This window comes from Homo sapiens, chromosome 7, assembly GCF_000001405.40.
Source record: "Homo sapiens chromosome 7, GRCh38.p14 Primary Assembly".
Lineage (NCBI taxonomy): Eukaryota > Metazoa > Chordata > Mammalia > Primates > Hominidae > Homo > Homo sapiens.
The window spans coordinates 72486745-72505135 of record NC_000007.14 but is presented as its reverse complement, the minus strand read 5'-3'; the positions used below and the strand labels follow the sequence as shown (position 1 = coordinate 72505135).

General features: G+C 42.5%; 1 protein-coding gene across 1 annotated transcript in view, besides 1 other annotated feature; it reads left to right on the top strand.

Moving 5' to 3' along the window:
* Positions 1-856: 856 nt before the first annotated feature.
* CALN1 (calneuron 1) overlaps positions 857-18391 on the top strand; it is a 724789-nt gene continuing 707254 nt past the window's right edge. Inside the window, exon 1 of the mRNA XM_017012677.2 lies at positions 857-1024. Coding sequence (XP_016868166.1) covers positions 1023-1024 — 2 coding nt within the window. The 5' untranslated portion in view covers positions 857-1022. The remainder of the gene's footprint in view (positions 1025-18391) is intronic.
* Positions 11069-11128: an enhancer, noted in NCBI's record as "active region_26117". NCBI's record gives its function as "activates an Ori minimal core promoter by ATAC-STARR-seq in GM12878 lymphoblastoid cells {active_cell/tissue: GM12878}" and the evidence as "EXISTENCE:reporter gene assay evidence [ECO:0000049][PMID:35858748]".

Here is an 18391-nt window from a genome sequence, read left to right as displayed (position 1 = left end):
CCTTCTACCTCAGCCTCCCAAAGTGCTAGAATTATAGGCGTGAGCCACCGCACCCAGCCAGAATACTGACTTTTTTGTTTTTTTGAGATGGAGTTTTGCTCTTATTGCCCAGGCTGGAGTGCAATGGAGCAATCTCAACTCACTGCAACCTCCCAGGTTCAAGCGATTCTCCTGCCTCAGCCTTCCCGGTAGCTGGGATTACAGGCACGCACCACCACGCCCGGCTAATTTTGTATTTTTAGTAGAGACAGAGTTTTGCCATGTTGGTCAGGCTGGTCTCAAACTCCTGACGTCAGGTGATCCACCCGTCTTGGCCTCCCAAAGTGCCGGGATTACAGGCATGAACCACCGCACCCAGCCCAGAATACTGACTTCTAATGCCCCAGAAGACCACAGATGTGGAAGGCATTGGCCTTCATCCCCATTCTCAGCTCCCAACTACTACCTCTTTATTATTCTTTTCCTTTTTCAAATGCTTTGTGAGCCTTTTTCCCTGTATTTCCAGGTTGGGATGGCCTAGGGTGAGTGGCCTAGCCGCTCCCTCTCTTTCCATGACTTCAGGGCTATGGGGCCAGCCTCTCCCCTCACCCCTGTGTGTGTGGGAAGAGGTAGAGGAAATGAGAGAGCTGTGAGTTACCCTGGAGGGAGCCTGTAATTCATGTTCAGGCCGAGGTAAAGCCATCTGCAGTACCAAGTAGAGACCTACACTTAAGAAAGAAAATTATGCTGCCAACCTTGAAACAGGGAGCCTGGATGACATCCATTTTTACAAAGCCCGTGTTTCAATCCACTTCAAAGGGCTCACCGGAGCTAGTCTTGTATGTTTCATAATCCATCAGCCAGCTGGGCTTGTGGAATGGTATTTCATCATGGAAATAGACTCACCGGGGAGAGGGTGGGAAGGATGAAAGACACATGGGATTTATTGCCTATGAAGCCGGGCACAGCAATCCGTTTGCCTTTGTCATCTTAACCTTTATGCGGTGGGATTCTCAGCCTGAGCCTCCACTGTGGTCACTGTGATGTGAGTCTCCCAACTTCGGGACAGGGGCATGTGCATGAAAGTCGGGATAGAGCAGTTTGTCTTGTTCCCTTTTCTCTTCGTTATTTTCCTCTCTCTCCCTTCCTCCCACCCACACTCCTCTATGGGGTGATTTGTTGCTACAGCTCTTGAAAATAGGGGCAGTCATACAAAAGATGAATAAACTACGTTTCTGTGAAATTCCCTGGGAGCCATTAAAAAACCAAGGCATTCTCGCCTTGACTGACGGTGTAGGGTAAGCATTAGCATTTCCTGCGATCCTCCTCTCTGGCCAGAGTGCCCTCAGAGATCTCGGTAGCAAACAGAGGCTGCAAGGATGTATATAAACCAAGGATGCTTTGGGATTTGAGTCCAGGTGCTGGAGAGGAGATCATGGCTGTTTCGTCTAATAGATTAGGAAAACAGACTCAGAGAAGGTTACTGGTACTGGCTTCCTCGGTTTTCAGGAAAAGTTAGGCTAGAAACCAAAATTTGGGAAGCTGGAAATAAGAAGAAAATAGACATGGGATGAATAGCAAATTGGAGAAAAGAGAAACTCAAGCTTGCAGAAGGGAAAAGTGAAAGGCAAGCTGAGCTGCATGTCCGAACCCCGGAAGGCTGCAGGTATTTCTGAAAGTGCAAGATAGCTTGAGTGCCAAATGGGATTGGTGGAAATCCTATGAGAAGCAACTGGACCCCCAAATACCCCCGAGAGCACCACCACCTCAGTGACTGCCCCTGATGGCACAGCATTGAAGGAGTCCTCTCTGAAGGGCTTAATCTACATGGAGTTTGGCTTAGGAACATTGGATGAAGGTGAGGGTCAGGGCACTGCAATGGAAATAGGGGAGTTAAGTAAAAATGATCATCCTGAATAGTGCTAGCGTCCCAGCCCCTGCCCCCATTTGACACGCAGAACAACTCATAGCCAGAGGTTTACAATTATATACATTTTTTTTTTCTTTTTTTGAGATGCTGTCTCACTCTGTCGCCCAGGCTGGAGTGCAGTGGCACGATCTCAGCTCACTACAACCACCGCTTCCCAGATTCAAGCGATTCTCCTGCCTCAGCCTCCTGAATAACTGGGATTATAGCCACCATGTCTGGCTAATTTTTATATTTTTAGTAGAGACGGGGTTTTGCCATGTTGGCCAGGCTGGTCTCGAACTCCTGACCTCAAGCAATCTGCCTCCTTTGGCTCCCCAAAGTGCCGGGATTACAGGTGTGAGCCACTGCACCCGGCCTACAATTTCTTTTTACAGTTATAGAAAACAAGCAAAGGAAAAAAATGAGACAATTATGAACTCCAAGGAAAATAAAATGCCATATAAGAGAGAAATTGTTTTCCTAGTGTGCCACTCAGCCAGGAATATTTACATAGGCACTGAATATGGATTTAACCAAAAATTATAACTATATTGGGAAGATGAGGGAAGGGATATAAGAAAGTTGAATCTTCATCTTCCATATTAGGAAGTCAATAGTTACTACCTAAAACTGAAAAATCAAGAAATAGTAGTTTAAATAGAAAATTCTATAATGCGAAGGTAAATACTTGTACCTGCAAAGCTAAAATATGGTGAAAGTGATTACTTTGTGAGAATGGCAGATGGGGAAGTCTATTTAAAATGTTTAAATGCCTGTAACAGTAGTTAATAGAGACATGGTAAGGTTTCTGAATTATATTTATATATAATATATATTGTATATATATGTAATATATTTTAGTAAAGTTGGAGAAGATGTCACAGTTTGAAAGACAGGTCAAAGTGCTCAGATGTTTAAGAAATTATATCTTCAGAATTCAGTTAAAAAATCTGAAGATTTTAAAGCCAATCCCTTCTATTGTCACTGTATTTAAATGAAATAATTCCTCCCCGCCCCACAAGCAATTCAGCAAAATGTAATATTCTGACCTCGTCCCTCCTAAGGTTTTAAGGTTTCTTCTAATACGGCAGCAGGAAAAAAATTTCAGTTACTTCATAAATGTTCAGTTATGAACATGTAACTCAAATAAATCTTGAGGCCCTTAGCACTGGCAAAGAAACAATAATAATTAAAAAGTCTTTCTAACGTTTACTTAGATCATTTAAAGAATATATATATGTGTGTATATATATTTATATATATATGTGTGTATATATATTTATATATATATATGTGTGTATATATATATATATATATATTTTTTTTTTTTTTTTTTTTTGAGACGAAATCTCGCTCTGTTGCCCAGGCTGGAGTGCAGTGGCATGATCTCAGCTCACTGCAACTTCCACCTCCTGGTTTCAAGCGATTCTCCTGCTGCAGCCTCCCAAGTAGCTGGGACTACAGGCGCCCACCACCACGCCCAGCTAATTTTTATATTTTTAGTACAGATGTGGTTTCACCATATTGGTCACGCTGGTCTCTAACTCCTGACTTCATGATCCGCCCACCTCAGCCTCCCAAAGTGCTGGGATTACAGTAGTGAGCCACTGCGCCCAGCCAAGAATATTATAATCCATTCAATTCATAACTCCTAGCCATGGTTCTTAGAATGTTCTTTCTTCTCTTCCCTCCCTCCCTCCCTCCTTCCTTTCCTTTCCTTCTTTCCTTCTTTACTTCCTTCCTTCCATCCTTCCTTCCTTCCCTCCTTCCTTCTTCCTCCTCCTCCTCCTTTTTCCTCTTCCTCTTTTTTCTTCTTCTTCTTCCTCTTTCTTCTTCTCTTTTTCTTTGTCTTTTTTTTTTTTTTTTTTTTTTTTTTTAATAGAGACGTGGCCTCACTATGTTGCCCAGGCTAGTTTTGAACTCCTGGTCTCAAGTGATCCTTCCACCTTGGCCTCCCAAAGTGCTAGGATTACAAGCTTGAACCACCACACCTGGACTCCTCTGTGGTTTTCTTACATGTCTAGCTACTCTGAAGCCACTCATCCTTGAAACTATTATTCACTTGTTACCCCAACTTATTTCTGAGTATTTTATCTCCAATCCTGGTGTCTTTCTACCCATTCTCCTGATTTTGTATCACTAAAGCTCTTCTTGGAAGATATGGGAAGAGAGGAGAGACAGAATTGTCTTTAGGAGGCAGCAAAAGAGAAGAATCCTGGAAAAGTTTATTAATTAATGAGTTTTATTCTCATTAAAAATGCAAAATTTTATTATTAACTAATTCCTTATTATGATAAATCAATAATTCAACAATTTAGGTACTGTTCTTTTGAATGATTTTATGTAAACATTCTTATACATTATTCATATAATTATTTTGCAAAAAATCAATTTAAGATAAATTGATTAATACACAGTGAATCTGGAATGGAAGTAACTGGACATTGTAAACAAAAAAATTAAAAATAGAAATGCACAAAGAATAAGATAATAACATTAGTGCCTCATCACTCAGAATTTTGAGTGTATGTTTTCATATCAGTTTTAGTTTTTTTTTTAGATTTTAAGAAACAAAATGTTACTCATTAAATAAATGAATATCAGTAATCACAGGAATTGGACAGGTTATATAAACAGCGGAGAGGGGATGATAAAGAAGGAAAGAGCAAGCTGGGCACGGTGGCTCACGCCTGTAATCCCAGCACTTTGGGAAGCTGAGGCAGGTGGATCACTTGAGGTTAGGAGTTTGAGACCAGCCTGGCCAACAGGTGAAACCCTGTCTCTACTAAAAATACAAAAATTAGCCCAGTGTGGTGGTGCATGCCTACAGTCCCAGCTACTCGGGAGGCTGAGGCAGGAGAATTGCTTGAACCCGGGAGGCGGAGGTTGTGGTGAACCGAGATCGCGACACTGCACTCCAGCCTGGGCGACGGAGTGAGACTGTCTCAAAAAAAAAAAAAAAAAAAAAAAAAAAAAAAGAAGGAACGAACAGAAGTTCATGAGACCCACAAAAGAGACACAGAAAGTTTCAGCTGAGGCCGGGCGAGGTGGCTCACATCTGTAATCCCAGCACTTTGGGAGGCTGGGGTGGGTGGATAGCCTGAGGTCAGGAGTTTGAGATCAGTCTGGCCAACATGGTGAAACCCTCTCTCTACTAAAAATACAAAAATTAGCCCAACTTGGTGGTGCATGCCTGTAATCCCAGCTACTAGGGAGGCGGAGGCAGGAGAATCGCTTGAGCCTGGGAGGCGGAGGTTGTAGTGAGCCAAGATCGTGCCACTGTACTTCAGCCAGGGCAACAGAGCGAGACACTGTCTCAAAAAAGAGAAAGATAGAAAGAAAGAAAGAAAGAAAGAAAGAAAGAAAGAAAGAAAGAAAGAAAGAAAGAAAGAAAGAAAGAAAGAAAGAAAGAAAGAAAGAAGGAAGGAAGGAAGGAAGGAAGGAAGGAAGGAAGGAAGGAAGGAAGGAAGGAAAGAAAGAAAGTTTTGCGGAAGTATGCAGCAAAAATTATAATTAATGGCAAATTCTTAAAAAATAATTTTTTATAGATTCTTTTATATTTGCCCAAATATTAACCATCTCCAATACTACTCATTCCTTTTTGTAATAGTATTTTTCCTTTTTCCAAGGAACAATTATTTGCATATGAGTCTGCATGTGAGTCAGTTTATCTTAAACTGATTTTTTTGCAAAATAATATGAATAATTTATAGAATGTTTATATTAAAACATTCAGAAGAATAGTGCCTAAATTATTGCCTTATTTATGTATCATAATGAGGAATTAGTTCATAATAACATTTTGCATTTGTGATGAAAACAAAACTCATGAATCAATCAATTATTAATTAATAATTTGTAGTGTTCCTTTTCCAAATAATATTATTCCTCTTTAGCCTAAAAGATTTCTTTCAGCTGGCCAGGCATAGTGGCTCATGCCTGTAATTCCAGCACTTTGGGAGGCTGAGGTGGGTGGATCGCTTGAAGTCAGGAGTTTGAGACCAGCTTGGCCAACATGGTGAAACCTCGTCTCTACTAAAAATACAAAAATTAGCTAGGTGTGGTGGCAGGTTCCTGTAATCCCAGCTACTAGGGAGGCTGAGGTAGGAGAATCACTTGAACCCAGGAGGTGGAGGTTGCAGTGAGCTGAGATTGCACCACTGCACTCCAGCCTGGGTTACAGAGTGAGATTCTGTCTCAAAAAAAATTATTCCTTATAGACAATTATTCTTTTATATTTGCCCCAATATTAACTAATTCCTTTTTATAATAGTATTGTTCCTTTTTCCAAGGAACAATTATTTGCGTATGAGTCTGTGTATGAGTCAATTTATCTTAAATTGATATTTTGCAAAATAAGTATATGAATAATTCATAAGAATGTTTATTTTAAAACATTAAAAAAAGTACCTAAATTAGTGCTTTATTTATCATAATGAGGAATGAGTTCATAATGATATTTTGCATTTGTGATAAAAAGAAAACTCATGAATCCATCAACTATTAATTAATAACTTGTAGTATTCCTTTTCCAAATAATATTATTTCCCTTCAGCCTAAAAAATTTCTTTTAGCACTTCTCGTGGTAAAGATCTGCTGGCAAAAAATGATCTCAACTGAATTTATCTAAAAATGTCTTGTTTTCTTTGCATTCATTTTTGAAGAATAGTTTTACTGGACATAAACTTCTAAGTTGACAGTTTTTTCTTTTTATACTTTAAAGATGTAATTTCCTTGTCTTCCAGGCTCCATTTATTGAGTACAAAGTTGGCTGTTATTTTTATTATTGCTTCCTTGTATGTAATGTGTCTTTTTTTCCTGACTGCTTTTGAGATTTTCTATTTCTTTTTGGTTTTTATCCATGATGTGGCTAGGTATAAGTTTTTTTTTTAACTAATTTTTTGGAGGCCTGTTAAGCCTCTTATAAATAGGATTTGATGTTTATAACCAAAGTTGGAGAAATTTTGGCCAATATTTCTTGAAATTTTAAAAATTCTCGATTCTATTCCCTCCTCCTGAGATGGCAAATACACATTAGGGAGGTTTGGTATTATGGATCTATTTGGTATTACTTGATATTGAGGCTTTCACCTTTTTTATACATTGGATTACTTTTGGATAATTTATCTATTTATCTGTCTTTAAATCAATAACCTTTCTTTCCCCATCCCCCATATTCAATTTTCTACAAATCTTGTGTAATGGTTTTTAAAAATTTCTCATATTGTATTTTTCAGTTCTAAGATTTCTTCTTGGTACTTTTTGAGAGTTTCCACATCTTTTCTGAGATTCTCTGTCTCTTTATCCATTACAACCAATTTCTCTTCTGTAAAACTTTAATGTATAGTTATGAATTATCTTAAAGTCCTTTTCTCAATACCAACACATGGGTTGCCTGTGGGGATACTATTTATTAACTGTTTTTTCCCCTCTATTTATTAGTCGTCACATTTTGTTACTTCTTCACGTGTCTGGTAATTTTTTTATTGTATAATAACCTTGTGGATGATACATTGTAGAGACTCTGCATTCTGTTATCTTCCTCTGAAGAGTGTTAAATTCTGTTCTAGCAGATCTAGTAGACCCACTGGCAGATCACCCAGAAGTTTAGTTGAAAGCTTTGTTTCATGGTTCTGTTTTGATTTTGCTCGTTTCTAGGATGTAGCTCTTAACCCTAGCATGTGCTTCCTAATCTCAGGGCATGGCCCTTTGAGGAGTAATTAAAAATCTTGAAGTATTTATCAAATCCCTTTAAGTTGGTGAGATTTTAACTCTAAAGTTTGTCATTGTCATTCCTTTGTTTTTTTTGAGATGGGGTCTCACTCTGTCACCCAGGCTGGAGTGCAGTGGCGTGATCTCAGCTCACTGCAACCTCCGCCTCCCAGGTTCAAGCGATTCTCCTGCCTCAGACTCCTGAGTAGCTGGGATTACAGATGCGTGCCACCACGCCTGGCTAGTTTTGGTATTTTTAGTAGAGACGAGGTTTCACCATATTGTTCAGGCTGGTCTTGAACTCCTGACCTCAGGTGATCCACCCGCTTTGGCCTCCCAAAGTGCTAGGATTACAGGCATGAGCCACTGTGCCCGGCCAAGTCTGTCATTCTATTAATAGCACTGAGCGCCTGCTAAAATCTCTGCTCAGCTTTTTTTCCCTTTCAGCTATTCCTTTCCTCTGGGCTCATTGGAATCTTTCCTCCATGCACAGACGTTAAAATTCAGCCAAGGATTTGAGAGCGTACTTACATAAGGATTTTGTGGCTCCTTCCTTTTCCACATTCCTTGTCTCTCAGTTCCAGTTCTCTGGCAGCTCCAAATTCTCACCTATGATTCTTTGGCCTCATAAGACTATAAGCCCTAATAAAACTTTAGCTTAATAAGTCTTGCTCTGTTGCCCAGGCTGAAATACAGTGGTGCGATCACAGCTCACTGCAGCCTCAACTTCCTGGGCTTAAGGAATCCTCCCACCTCAGCCTCTCTAGTTGCTGACTACAGGGACTACAGGTGCACACCACCACACCTGGCTAATTTTAAAAATTTTTTGTAGAGGTGAGGTCTTGCTTTGTTGCCCAGGTCTTAAACAATCCTCTCATTTCGGTGTCCCAAAGTGCTGGGATTACAGGCGTGAGCCACCACACCCAACCCAACTGTTAGCTTTTTGATTGAATTCTAGTCCCTAGGCCCCAAACAAATTGAAGAGTGCTTTCAGAAGAAAAGCTGGTTAAACTTGAATCTCACATTGTGTACTTCCATTTTTCCAAGGCTTATAGTTCCCTAATTTCTGCCAGGCTTTGGCTACTCTCCAAGGACATGATATAGTTGTTTTAATATTTTGTCCATTGTTTACAGTTGTTATCAACAGATGGTTTTTTCTGATACAAACTATCCCCCATTATCAGAGCTAGAAGAAAAAAGTATTTAAAAATAAAGTAGTGATGTGTACTATCATTACTTTCATTCTCCATTATACTGGAGGTCTTAACAAGTGTAAAAATAAGCAAAAAGGAAAAGGTGTAAGAATTGGAATGAGGCCGGGCATGGTGGCTCACACCTGTAATCCCAGCACTTTGGGAGGCCGAGGCAGGTGGATCACCTAAGGTCAGGAGTTCGAGATCAGCCTGGCCAACATGGCAAAAACCCGTTTCTAATAAAAATACAAAAAATTAGCTGGGCATGGTGATGCATGCCTGTAGTCCCAGCTACTTGGGAGACTGAGGCAGGAGAATCTCTTGAACCTGGGAGGTACAGGTTGCAGTGAGCCAATATTGTGCCACTGCACCTTAGCCTGGGCAACAGAGCATCAAAACAAAACAAAAAAACTGAAAACAATAACAAATTGGAATAGAAGAAACAGAAATAGAATTATCTGCCCATGATATACAAATCTGAAAGAATCTATAGAAGCAATTTTAATTAAAATAAAAGTTCAGGAAGGATGCTAGATATCAGAGCAATATTAAAAATTCTGTGGCTTTCTATCCATCAGCTTCACATCTTTTCAATTGTATTTCGGAAGCAATAACGATTTGCCTCAGATTCCAAGCAACTTTATAGCCCACCGTTTGTCCACACTTCTCTGTTTTCTTGAGGCCATTTGAGTTTTGTTCTCTGTTATTTGCTACCAGAAGAGCCTTGACTAACAGAGAGGGGTTTTCTTTGAGGTCAGGCTTAGGGGTCTTTTGCTCATGGGGTGTGGCATGGACCTGCTTGAATGGAGCAAGGGATGCCAAACCAAAATGAGTTCTTGGGACAAAGACTGTGCCTTGTTCCCTGCAATGTCCCTAGCAGCTAGCACAGTGGGTTGGGTGCAGAGTAGGTCTCAATCAATATTTACTGAAGGACCGTGGTTGCTATTTTTAACTAACTGAAGGACTCACACGAGGAGGAACTGACCCAGCCTGGGTAGGAGATCTCCAAGAGTCAGTGCCATCTGAGGACAGACCAGTCAGAGCTGGAGGACCTTGGACTCCTGCCCAAGGAGGATTTGGGTAGAGATTGGATGAACACCTGGCAGAAATTTAAAGGGTGGACTCAAACAACAGTTAGGAATCTGGATTTTGACCTTCAAATGGGAATGGAAAATGGAAGAAAAATGGAATCATCACGCAATGGTCAGACTCCAAGATGGCCCTCAATGATTCTTGCCTCCTAGAATTCATGCACTTGTGTGGGTCCCTCCCTCATTGGATTGAGCTGGCTGTGTGGCTCACAGAAGAAAGTGGAAGTAATAGGGGGTGATTTCCAAGACCAGGTCATGCAGGCGTTGCAGCTTACAGGTGTTATTTTGGGGAAGCCAGCTATCATGCCATAAGGGCACTCACACAGCCCTTGGGGAGGACCATATGGAGAGGAACAATCTTATTATTATTATTATTATTATTTTTGAGACAGGGTCTTTCTCTGTCCCCCAGGCTGGAGTGCAGTGGCACAATCATAGCTCACTGCAGCCTCGAACTCTTGAGCTCCAGCGATCTTTCCTCCTCAGCCTCCTGAGTAGCTGGGACTGCAGGTGTGCCCAACTATACCTGGGTAATTAAAATAATTTTTTTTTTTTTGTAGAGATGGGGTCTCGCTATATTGCCCAGACTGGCATCAAGCAATCAGTGTTGGTCTCCCACGGTGCTGGGGCTACAGGCATGGGCCAACGCGCCCGGCCTGTGTTGCCTTTGATGTGGTACCCGAGACATGTGTTCTGGGCAAAGTTGAGGTCCAGGGAATTCCCGCAGGTGGGGAGGTGTCCCAGCTTGCGTCAAAAAGAACTTCTCTAACAAGGAGCACTTGGAGGGCAATAGTCACTGCCTATCTTTGCGTTACTACCAGGACAGTGCCTGGCACGGCGTGGGTGCCCTTTAAGTGTTCTTTGATTAGTGAACAAATAAAGGTAAGCTTGCTAGCAGGTCCTCTGGACCTTTGGTGCCATTTCTGACTGGTGTATTCTACTGACTTTTTTAGTCTTCCTGGAACACTGTCCAGCAGAGGGCAGTGTTGTGCATCCCCGAATGCACGAACATCCATCAGGTGAAAGAGAGTTGTTCCAAGTTCCACGGGGCTCAGATTTTTAGAGACAAGGTCTTGCTCTGTTGCCCAGGCTGGAGTTCAGTGGCGCAATCATGGCTCACTGCAGCCTTGAACCCCTGGGCTTAGCGATTCTCCTGCATCAGCCTCCTGAGTAGCTGAGCCTACAGGCATGCACCACCATGCCCAGCTTATTTTTTCATTTTTCTGTGGAGACGAGGTCTCTCTATGTTGCCCAGGCTGGTCTGGAACTCCTAGCCTGAAGCGATTCTCCTGTGTCAGTCTTCCAAAGTGTGTTATTTTGGGAATAATTGCTTCTTGCCACAAGCCCTAGACTTATACATGATGAGAAAACTACACCCACAAAGCACACTAAATATTTTTTAAGCCCAGTATTTAGTGGCTGTTGATACAGATAAATAAATTGATTGACCTTATCTCAGCAATAACACAATGCCACCTGCACTAGCACACTAAAAACTTGGGTAAATAGAATTTGTTTTCCTTCCAATAGTAACCAAAATGTTTGAGGACATTTCAGAAGGGCTTCAAGATCTAGAAAAGATGCTGTAAGAGTTATGATAAGAATAATTAATCGGCCAGGTGTAGTGGCTCATGCCTGTAATCCCAGCAATTTGGGAAGCTGAGGCGGATGGATCACCTGAGGTCAGGATTTCGAGACCAGCTTGGCCAACATGGTGAAGCCCTGTTTCTACTAAAAATACAAAAATTAGCTGGGAGTGGTGGTGCATGCTTGTAGTCCTAGGTACTCGGGAGGCTGAGTCAGGAGAATCACTTCAACTTGGGAGGTGGAGGCTGCAGTGAGCCAAGATTGCACCACTGCACTCCAGCCCGGGTGACAGAGTCAGTCTTTGTCTCAAAGGAAAAAAAAAAAAGAATAATTGATCACATGGACAAACCTTGAAAACATTATGCTAAATGAAAGAGGCCATTTAGTCATCATAAAAGACTACATATTGTATGATACCATTTCTGTGAAATGTCTGGAATAAGCAAATCTATAGAGACAGAGATTAGTGGCTGCCTAGAGATGGTGGGAGACCCGGGGAGGTGGTGGGAGACCCGGGGAGATGGCGGGAGACTGGGGAATATCAGCTAAAGGGTGTGGAGTTTCTTTCGGGGGTGATGAAAATGTTTTAAAATTAGGTTGTGGTGATAGTTGCCAAATTCTGTGAGTATTCTAAAAACCACTGGACTGCATACTTTCAATGGGTGAATTCTATCTCAAAGCTGTAAAAAAGAATACTCGTGTTCAGCTACATTTTTACATTTATCTTGTTGTCCTTGTGATTTAGTCTCTGCAAATGTGTTAGTCATCTGTGATGGAGATGACGATTTTCTGAGGATCGAACATACCATTGTCCATACGTCCTGGATAGCATGTGCCAGCAGGGATGCATTGCAGGAGCACGACTGTTCCGGTGCTCGGCAGCCAGTGTATTTTCTGATCGTTGCCATGGTGCTGTGAGGGGCTCATCTGTTGTCCCCATTCACAGATAATGACCAGGTCCAGATAAGAGTGGGTACTTTCATTCTAATCACTAGTCCAACTATTAGAGCCACGAGGGCTGACCCAGCGGTTGGCATGGTGCCCCCACAGCCCTGCTGGCATTAGCTGGAGGTCTGTGACAGCTTGTGACTGTGAGAAACAGCAGCCGCAGGACTACACAGGTGGCAAGGCCTTGCTTCCAATTCTCACCCAACTTGCATGCAAGATCTGCGTTGCTCCATCTTGTACAACAGCCCCTGTAGTAAGCACCTCCCAAAGGGTGGAACCAATCAACCCAGCAATGTGGGACAAAACAAAATCCATCTTTAGAGGAAGCATCTTTGGCTGGCAGTTAGGAGGCTTGGCTTCTAGACCTGGCTTTGCTATTTGAATTGACCAAGATCACGCCACTAACTCTCTGACCTTGGGTATGTCAATAGATTGAGTCTTATATGGGAAACCAAGGCTTAGACATTTAAGTTCATTCTCAGTTTTAAATTCCATGAGCTATTGGCTTAAACACTCTTGAGAACAAATGTAGTTCACACTGAAGGCCAAGGTGGCACATTTCTGTTTGTGTCTTACCTGTCGGCTACCTCTGTTGTTTGCAGTAGTTGTAATTTGAAAAGCTGTGGCCTAGCCTAGGTGCCTGATCCTTTGAGCCCAAGGGTAGAGATGAGATTGGGAGCATGATGAGGGCACTGGAGAAACTGCCTTTGAGAGTTGGAGTCCCTTGTTTGGCCTCCATAGTTTGCCCCATATCTTAGTTAAAGGGAAAATTCTATCTGTTATGTAATATTTGCAACAAGAGGACATAACTTATGGCATCTTGAATTACCTTGCTGTTTGGAACAGTGTCTCAGTGTTTGCTACTTGTGCAAAAAATGACCGTTGGTGTGTTCTTTCAGGGCCTCTGGTCACTTAATGAGAGGATAAAAGTGCAGTTGTGAGCAGTGGTCTTCCTCTCTACTCTATGAGTTTTCATTTCCCCACTACCTCCCCATTGCAGCTAATTGCACAGGGCAGAGGCTTGTCCTGAAGAAATGGGCTTTATTTGCACACAGCAGTCCTGAAGGCCCCAGTGAAGTGCCTCATGGAATGAACGTGAAAGAAAAGAACCCTTGTCAGGCTGCAGAACACCATTTTTTTCTCTTTTTGAGACAGAGTCTTACCATGTTGCCCAGGCTGGGCTGCAGTAGTGCAATCATAGCTCACTGCAACCTCAACCTTTTGGGCTCAAGCGATTCTCCTGCCTCAGCTTCTTGAGTAGCTAGGACTACAGGTGCACACCACCATACTTGGCTAATTTTTTAACTTTTTGCAGAAATAGGATCTTGCTCTGTTGCCCAGGCTGCTCTTGAAGGCCTGGCCTCAACTGATCTTCCCGCCTCAGTCTGCCAAAGTGCTAGAATTACAGACATGAGCCACTGCACCTGGGCAACCACCAATTTTTGAGCATCATTTTGTTTTTTGTTTTTGTTTTTGTTTTTTTTTTTTTTGAGACGGAGTCTCGCTCTGTTGCCCAGGCTGGTTGGCTCACTGCAAACTCCGCCTTCCGGGTTCACGCCATTCTCCTGCCTCAGCCTCCCGAGTAGCTGGGACTACAGGCGCCTGCCACCACGCCTGGCTATTTTTTTGTATTTTTAGTAGAGACAGGGTTTCACCATGTTATCCAGGATGGTCTCGATCTCCTGACCTCGTGATCCACCCGCCTCGGCCTCCCAAAGTGCTGGGATTACAGGCGTGAGCCACCGCGCCCGGCCTTGAGCATCATTTTAAGCACTAGGCATTACATACATTATATAATGCAATTTTCACAACAACACTGTATTAGTCCATTTTCACACTGCCTAAAGAACTACCTGAGACTGAGTAATTTATGAAGAAAAGAGCTTTAATTGACTCATAGTTCTGCAAGCTGTACAGGAAGCATGGCTGGGAGGCCTCAGGAAGCTTACAATCATGGTGGAAGGGTGAAGGGGAAGCAAGCACATCTTCACATGGTGACAGGAGAGAAAGTGCAAAGGGGAAGTACTACACACTTTAAAACAACCAGATCTCGTGAGAACTCACTCACTATCAGGAGAACAGCAAGGGGGAAATCTGCCCCCCATGATCCAGTCACCTCCCACCAGGCGCCTCCTCCAACGCTGAAGACCACAATTCAACATGAGATTTGGGTGGGGACACAGAGCTAAACCATATCAAACACTTTGAGGTAGGTGCTATTATTCCTACTGTAGAGGAGGAAATTGAGGTCAGAGAAGTTAGACAACATGGCCACGGCAGCACAGTGGGTAAATGGCAGAGGAGATGAAAATCCGCGTCTGCCTGACTCCAGAGTCATTGCTCTATATAACCCTCTCTGTCAACATTTTATAGTATTTTCTGCCAGTCTTTTTGTCCACACAGTGTTTTTGTTTATTTTGTTTTATTTTATAATTGCATAATTGAGATCATACTGTATAAGCATTTTCTAAAGGTCTTCTACTTGCTGGAATCCCTAAGCCCTTGGGGGTTAGATTGATGTGGAAAGACACACTATAGACGACCATTTCTGGAGGACTCTTTTGAACTCTACTAATGTGGAAGGTCTTCCTCTATTTGCCAAGGAGAAGCCATGGTCTCTATTTCTTCCCACTTATTTCTTTAGCCTTAATCTCTTCAAGCTTTACTTGCAATTCCTTTGCCTAAGACAGCAAAGACACCAAAGAAAGTAATTTTTATCTGGAATGGTCTCCACTAGGCTGTCTAGAGAGCCCTGGCTAGGAGCCAGGAGACTTGGCTTCATATGAGGATCCAGCCATATGTGGACTTCCTGGTACCTGAAATGTATGAGAAAGACATTGGGGTACATGTCCCAGCAGCCCTGGAATTGGGGAGTGATAAGGAAGTCTTTGAGTGCAGCTAGACTCTGCTATGAGGAAGACGGTGCAACAACTGTCTCTTGCCTGGTCACAGGGTGCTGAAGGTTGGGGCTACCATGGGACCCACCCCCTCCACCATAGTGTCTTTCCTTCTTATCTTCATGCAAAGGGTTGGCTTTAGAGGGTGCAATTGCCAACCTTCATACCCACTCCTTTCTTTTTGCTGCTTCCAGTTTTTAGGAACATGAAATAAAGGCTCTTTCAAGAGGTTCCTCTTGAGGCAAACAGTCAAGAAACAACATGAGTTCTGCGGTTCCAGCTGGTGAACAAGCTCAGTGGGATTCAGTCACTTTAATAGAGTGACACTCTTTCTCGAGATTAGACTGTCCTGGGCTTGATCCCTCACACTTCATAGGACATCAGACTTAAGCTACCAGAAAAATCGTACTAAGAAAGTGTAAGTGAAAGATAAGAAAAGCTCCAATTCTGCTTTCTTACTTCTGCTAAGAATATTTACAGATAAGACTGTGCCAGGAGGGCTGGGATCACAGGTACTCAGCAAGGATATGTTGAATTGAATTCAGAAAAGCTATCGTGATTCTTTTTGGTCAAGGGAGAATGATTTTCCCTTGTTCTGCCTGTTTCCCCTGTTTCCAAAGAGGAGATGGCCTTCTGAATCTGTGGCCTGGAGGAGGAGTATTGGAGGGAAAAGCTTCACTTCTGTTCCCATGGTTTCAATACTTCTTCACATGGGTGGAGGGTTGGCGGATGGACTCACAGGGCCCAATAATCCTTGAACCACATAACTGGGGATTGAGTTTAGAAGAAAAAAAAATTTTACCATATCTATCTTGACTGTCTCATGGTCGATAAGGAGTCTGTAGGCTCTCCTATGCTTCCAGCTTCCATGAGTAAGCTCACCTGGGTCAGAATAAGGATCAGTTTTTAAGAAGTAACTGGAAGCCTGGGCAACATAGTGAGACCCTATCTCTACAAAAAATAAAAAGATTACCTGGGCATGGTGCTATGTGCCTACAGTCCTAGCTTCTTGGGAGGCTGAAGAGGGAGGATGGGTTGATCCCAGGAGATTAAAGCTGCAGTGAGTTATGATTGCACCACTGTACCCAAGCCTGGGCAACAGAGTGAGATCCTATATCTAAAAAAAAAGTGAATGGGTACGTGAGGCAGGCCTGTGATTCTTCCTGAAGCTGGCAGGGTAACAGGAGACACATCAGATATCTGGTCCAAGGCACGTGCTCCAATATAGTTTAGCAGAGAGCCCTACACTTTGGGGTTAGTAAGTACTCTGTGGCCCATTAATAACAATGATTCTCTGGTATCCATTTGGCCACTCACTGAGTGCTCTCTTATTAGCTGGAATTCTGAAAGAAAGGGAGAGTGAACTTTAGGCCCCCTAACCTCTATCAATTCCCAAAGTATTAGTCCTTTTTAAAACTTATTCTTATTTTTATTTTTTTTTATTCTTTTGAGACAGGATCTTGCTCTATTGCCCAGGCTGGAGTGCAGTGGTGCAGTCATGGCTCACTGCAGCCTCAACTTCCTGGGCTCAAGCAATCCTCCTGCCTCAGCCTCCCAAGTAACTGAAACTACAGGCATGTGCTACCATGCCTGGCTAATTAAAAAAAATTTTTTTTTGTACAGATAGGGTCTTGTTATGTTGTCCAGGCTGGTCTTAAACACTTGGGCTCAAGTGATCCTCCCAGGCTGCTCTTTAACACCTGGGCTCAAGTGATTCACCTTGGCCTCCCAAAGTGTTGGGATCATAGGTGTGAGCCACCATGCCCAGCATGGTATTTGTCCTTGAGCTCAGGTTAAAACTGCTCATGAAGCACCCCTCTATTTTCTTCTTTCCTTCCTTCCTTCCTTCCTTCCTTCCTTCCTTTCCTTCCTTCCTTCCTTCCTTCCTTCCTTCCTTCCTTCTTTCTTTCTTTCTTTCTTTCTTTCTTTTCTTTTCTTTCTTTCTTTCTTTCTTTCTTTCTTTCTCTTTCTTTTTCTTTCTCTCTTTCTTTCTTTTTCTCTTTCTCTCTCTCTTTCTCCTTTCTTTCTTCTTTCTTTCTCTTTCTTTCTTTCTTTACCCTTCCTTCCTTCCTTCCTTCCTTCCTTTCTTTCTTTCTTTCTTTCTTTTCTTTTCTTTTCTTTCTTTCTTTCTTTCCTTTCTTTCTTTCACTCTGCTGCCCAGGCTGGAGTGCACTGGGGCAATCTTGGCTCACTGCAACCTCTGCCTCCTGGGTTCACCCGATTCTTCTGCTTCAGCCTCCCAAGTAGTTAGGATTACAGGTACCTGCCACCACACCCAGCTAATTTTTGTATTTTCAGTAGAGACGGGGTGTCACCATGTTGGCTAGTCTGGTCTCAAACTCCTGACCTCAGGTGATCCACCCATCTCAGTCTCCCAAAGTGCTGGGATTACAGGCATGAGCCACCGCACCTGGCCACCTCTCTATTTTCTCATTCCCCAGCTGGGGAGTTTTATTTCCTGGTCTCAACACCCACAAGCAGCTGCCCGTCCCAGTCTTTTTCACACGTGTTAAACTTTTACAACCCCCTATTTTGGTCCTCTTCTGAGGTCTACTCACCTTGTCTGTTTTCACACCATTCTCGCCAACTGTTTAGCCCCATAGATCCTTGTTCATCCCTCACCCATATCAAAGATGAAGTAGACAGGAGGCTGAGGCAGGAGATCACTTGAGCCCAAAGAGTTTGAGGCTGCAGTGAGCTATGATCACACCACTGTACTCCAGCCAGGGCAACAGAACAAGACCCTATCTCCAGAAAGAAAGAAGAGGAAGGAGAGATACATCCACATCGACGATGATTATAAAGCATGATACACACATGATACATAATAAGAATACTCCCGTGAATGTGGCTAGATTCTGAATCCATTAAAATTTTGTATGGAAGCAAAATAAATGTTGCCCCAGTTGCATTCTATAACTATATAACTAAAGTACCTGATGAAAATAAATTTGATGTTTTATAAGAAATCTACTAGCTACCATATAGTAGGTAATCAGTGAGTATTTATTGAATGAATGAAGGAAGAAATTGGAGAAAATATAAATGACTTTAATAAAAAATCTTAAAGCTTTA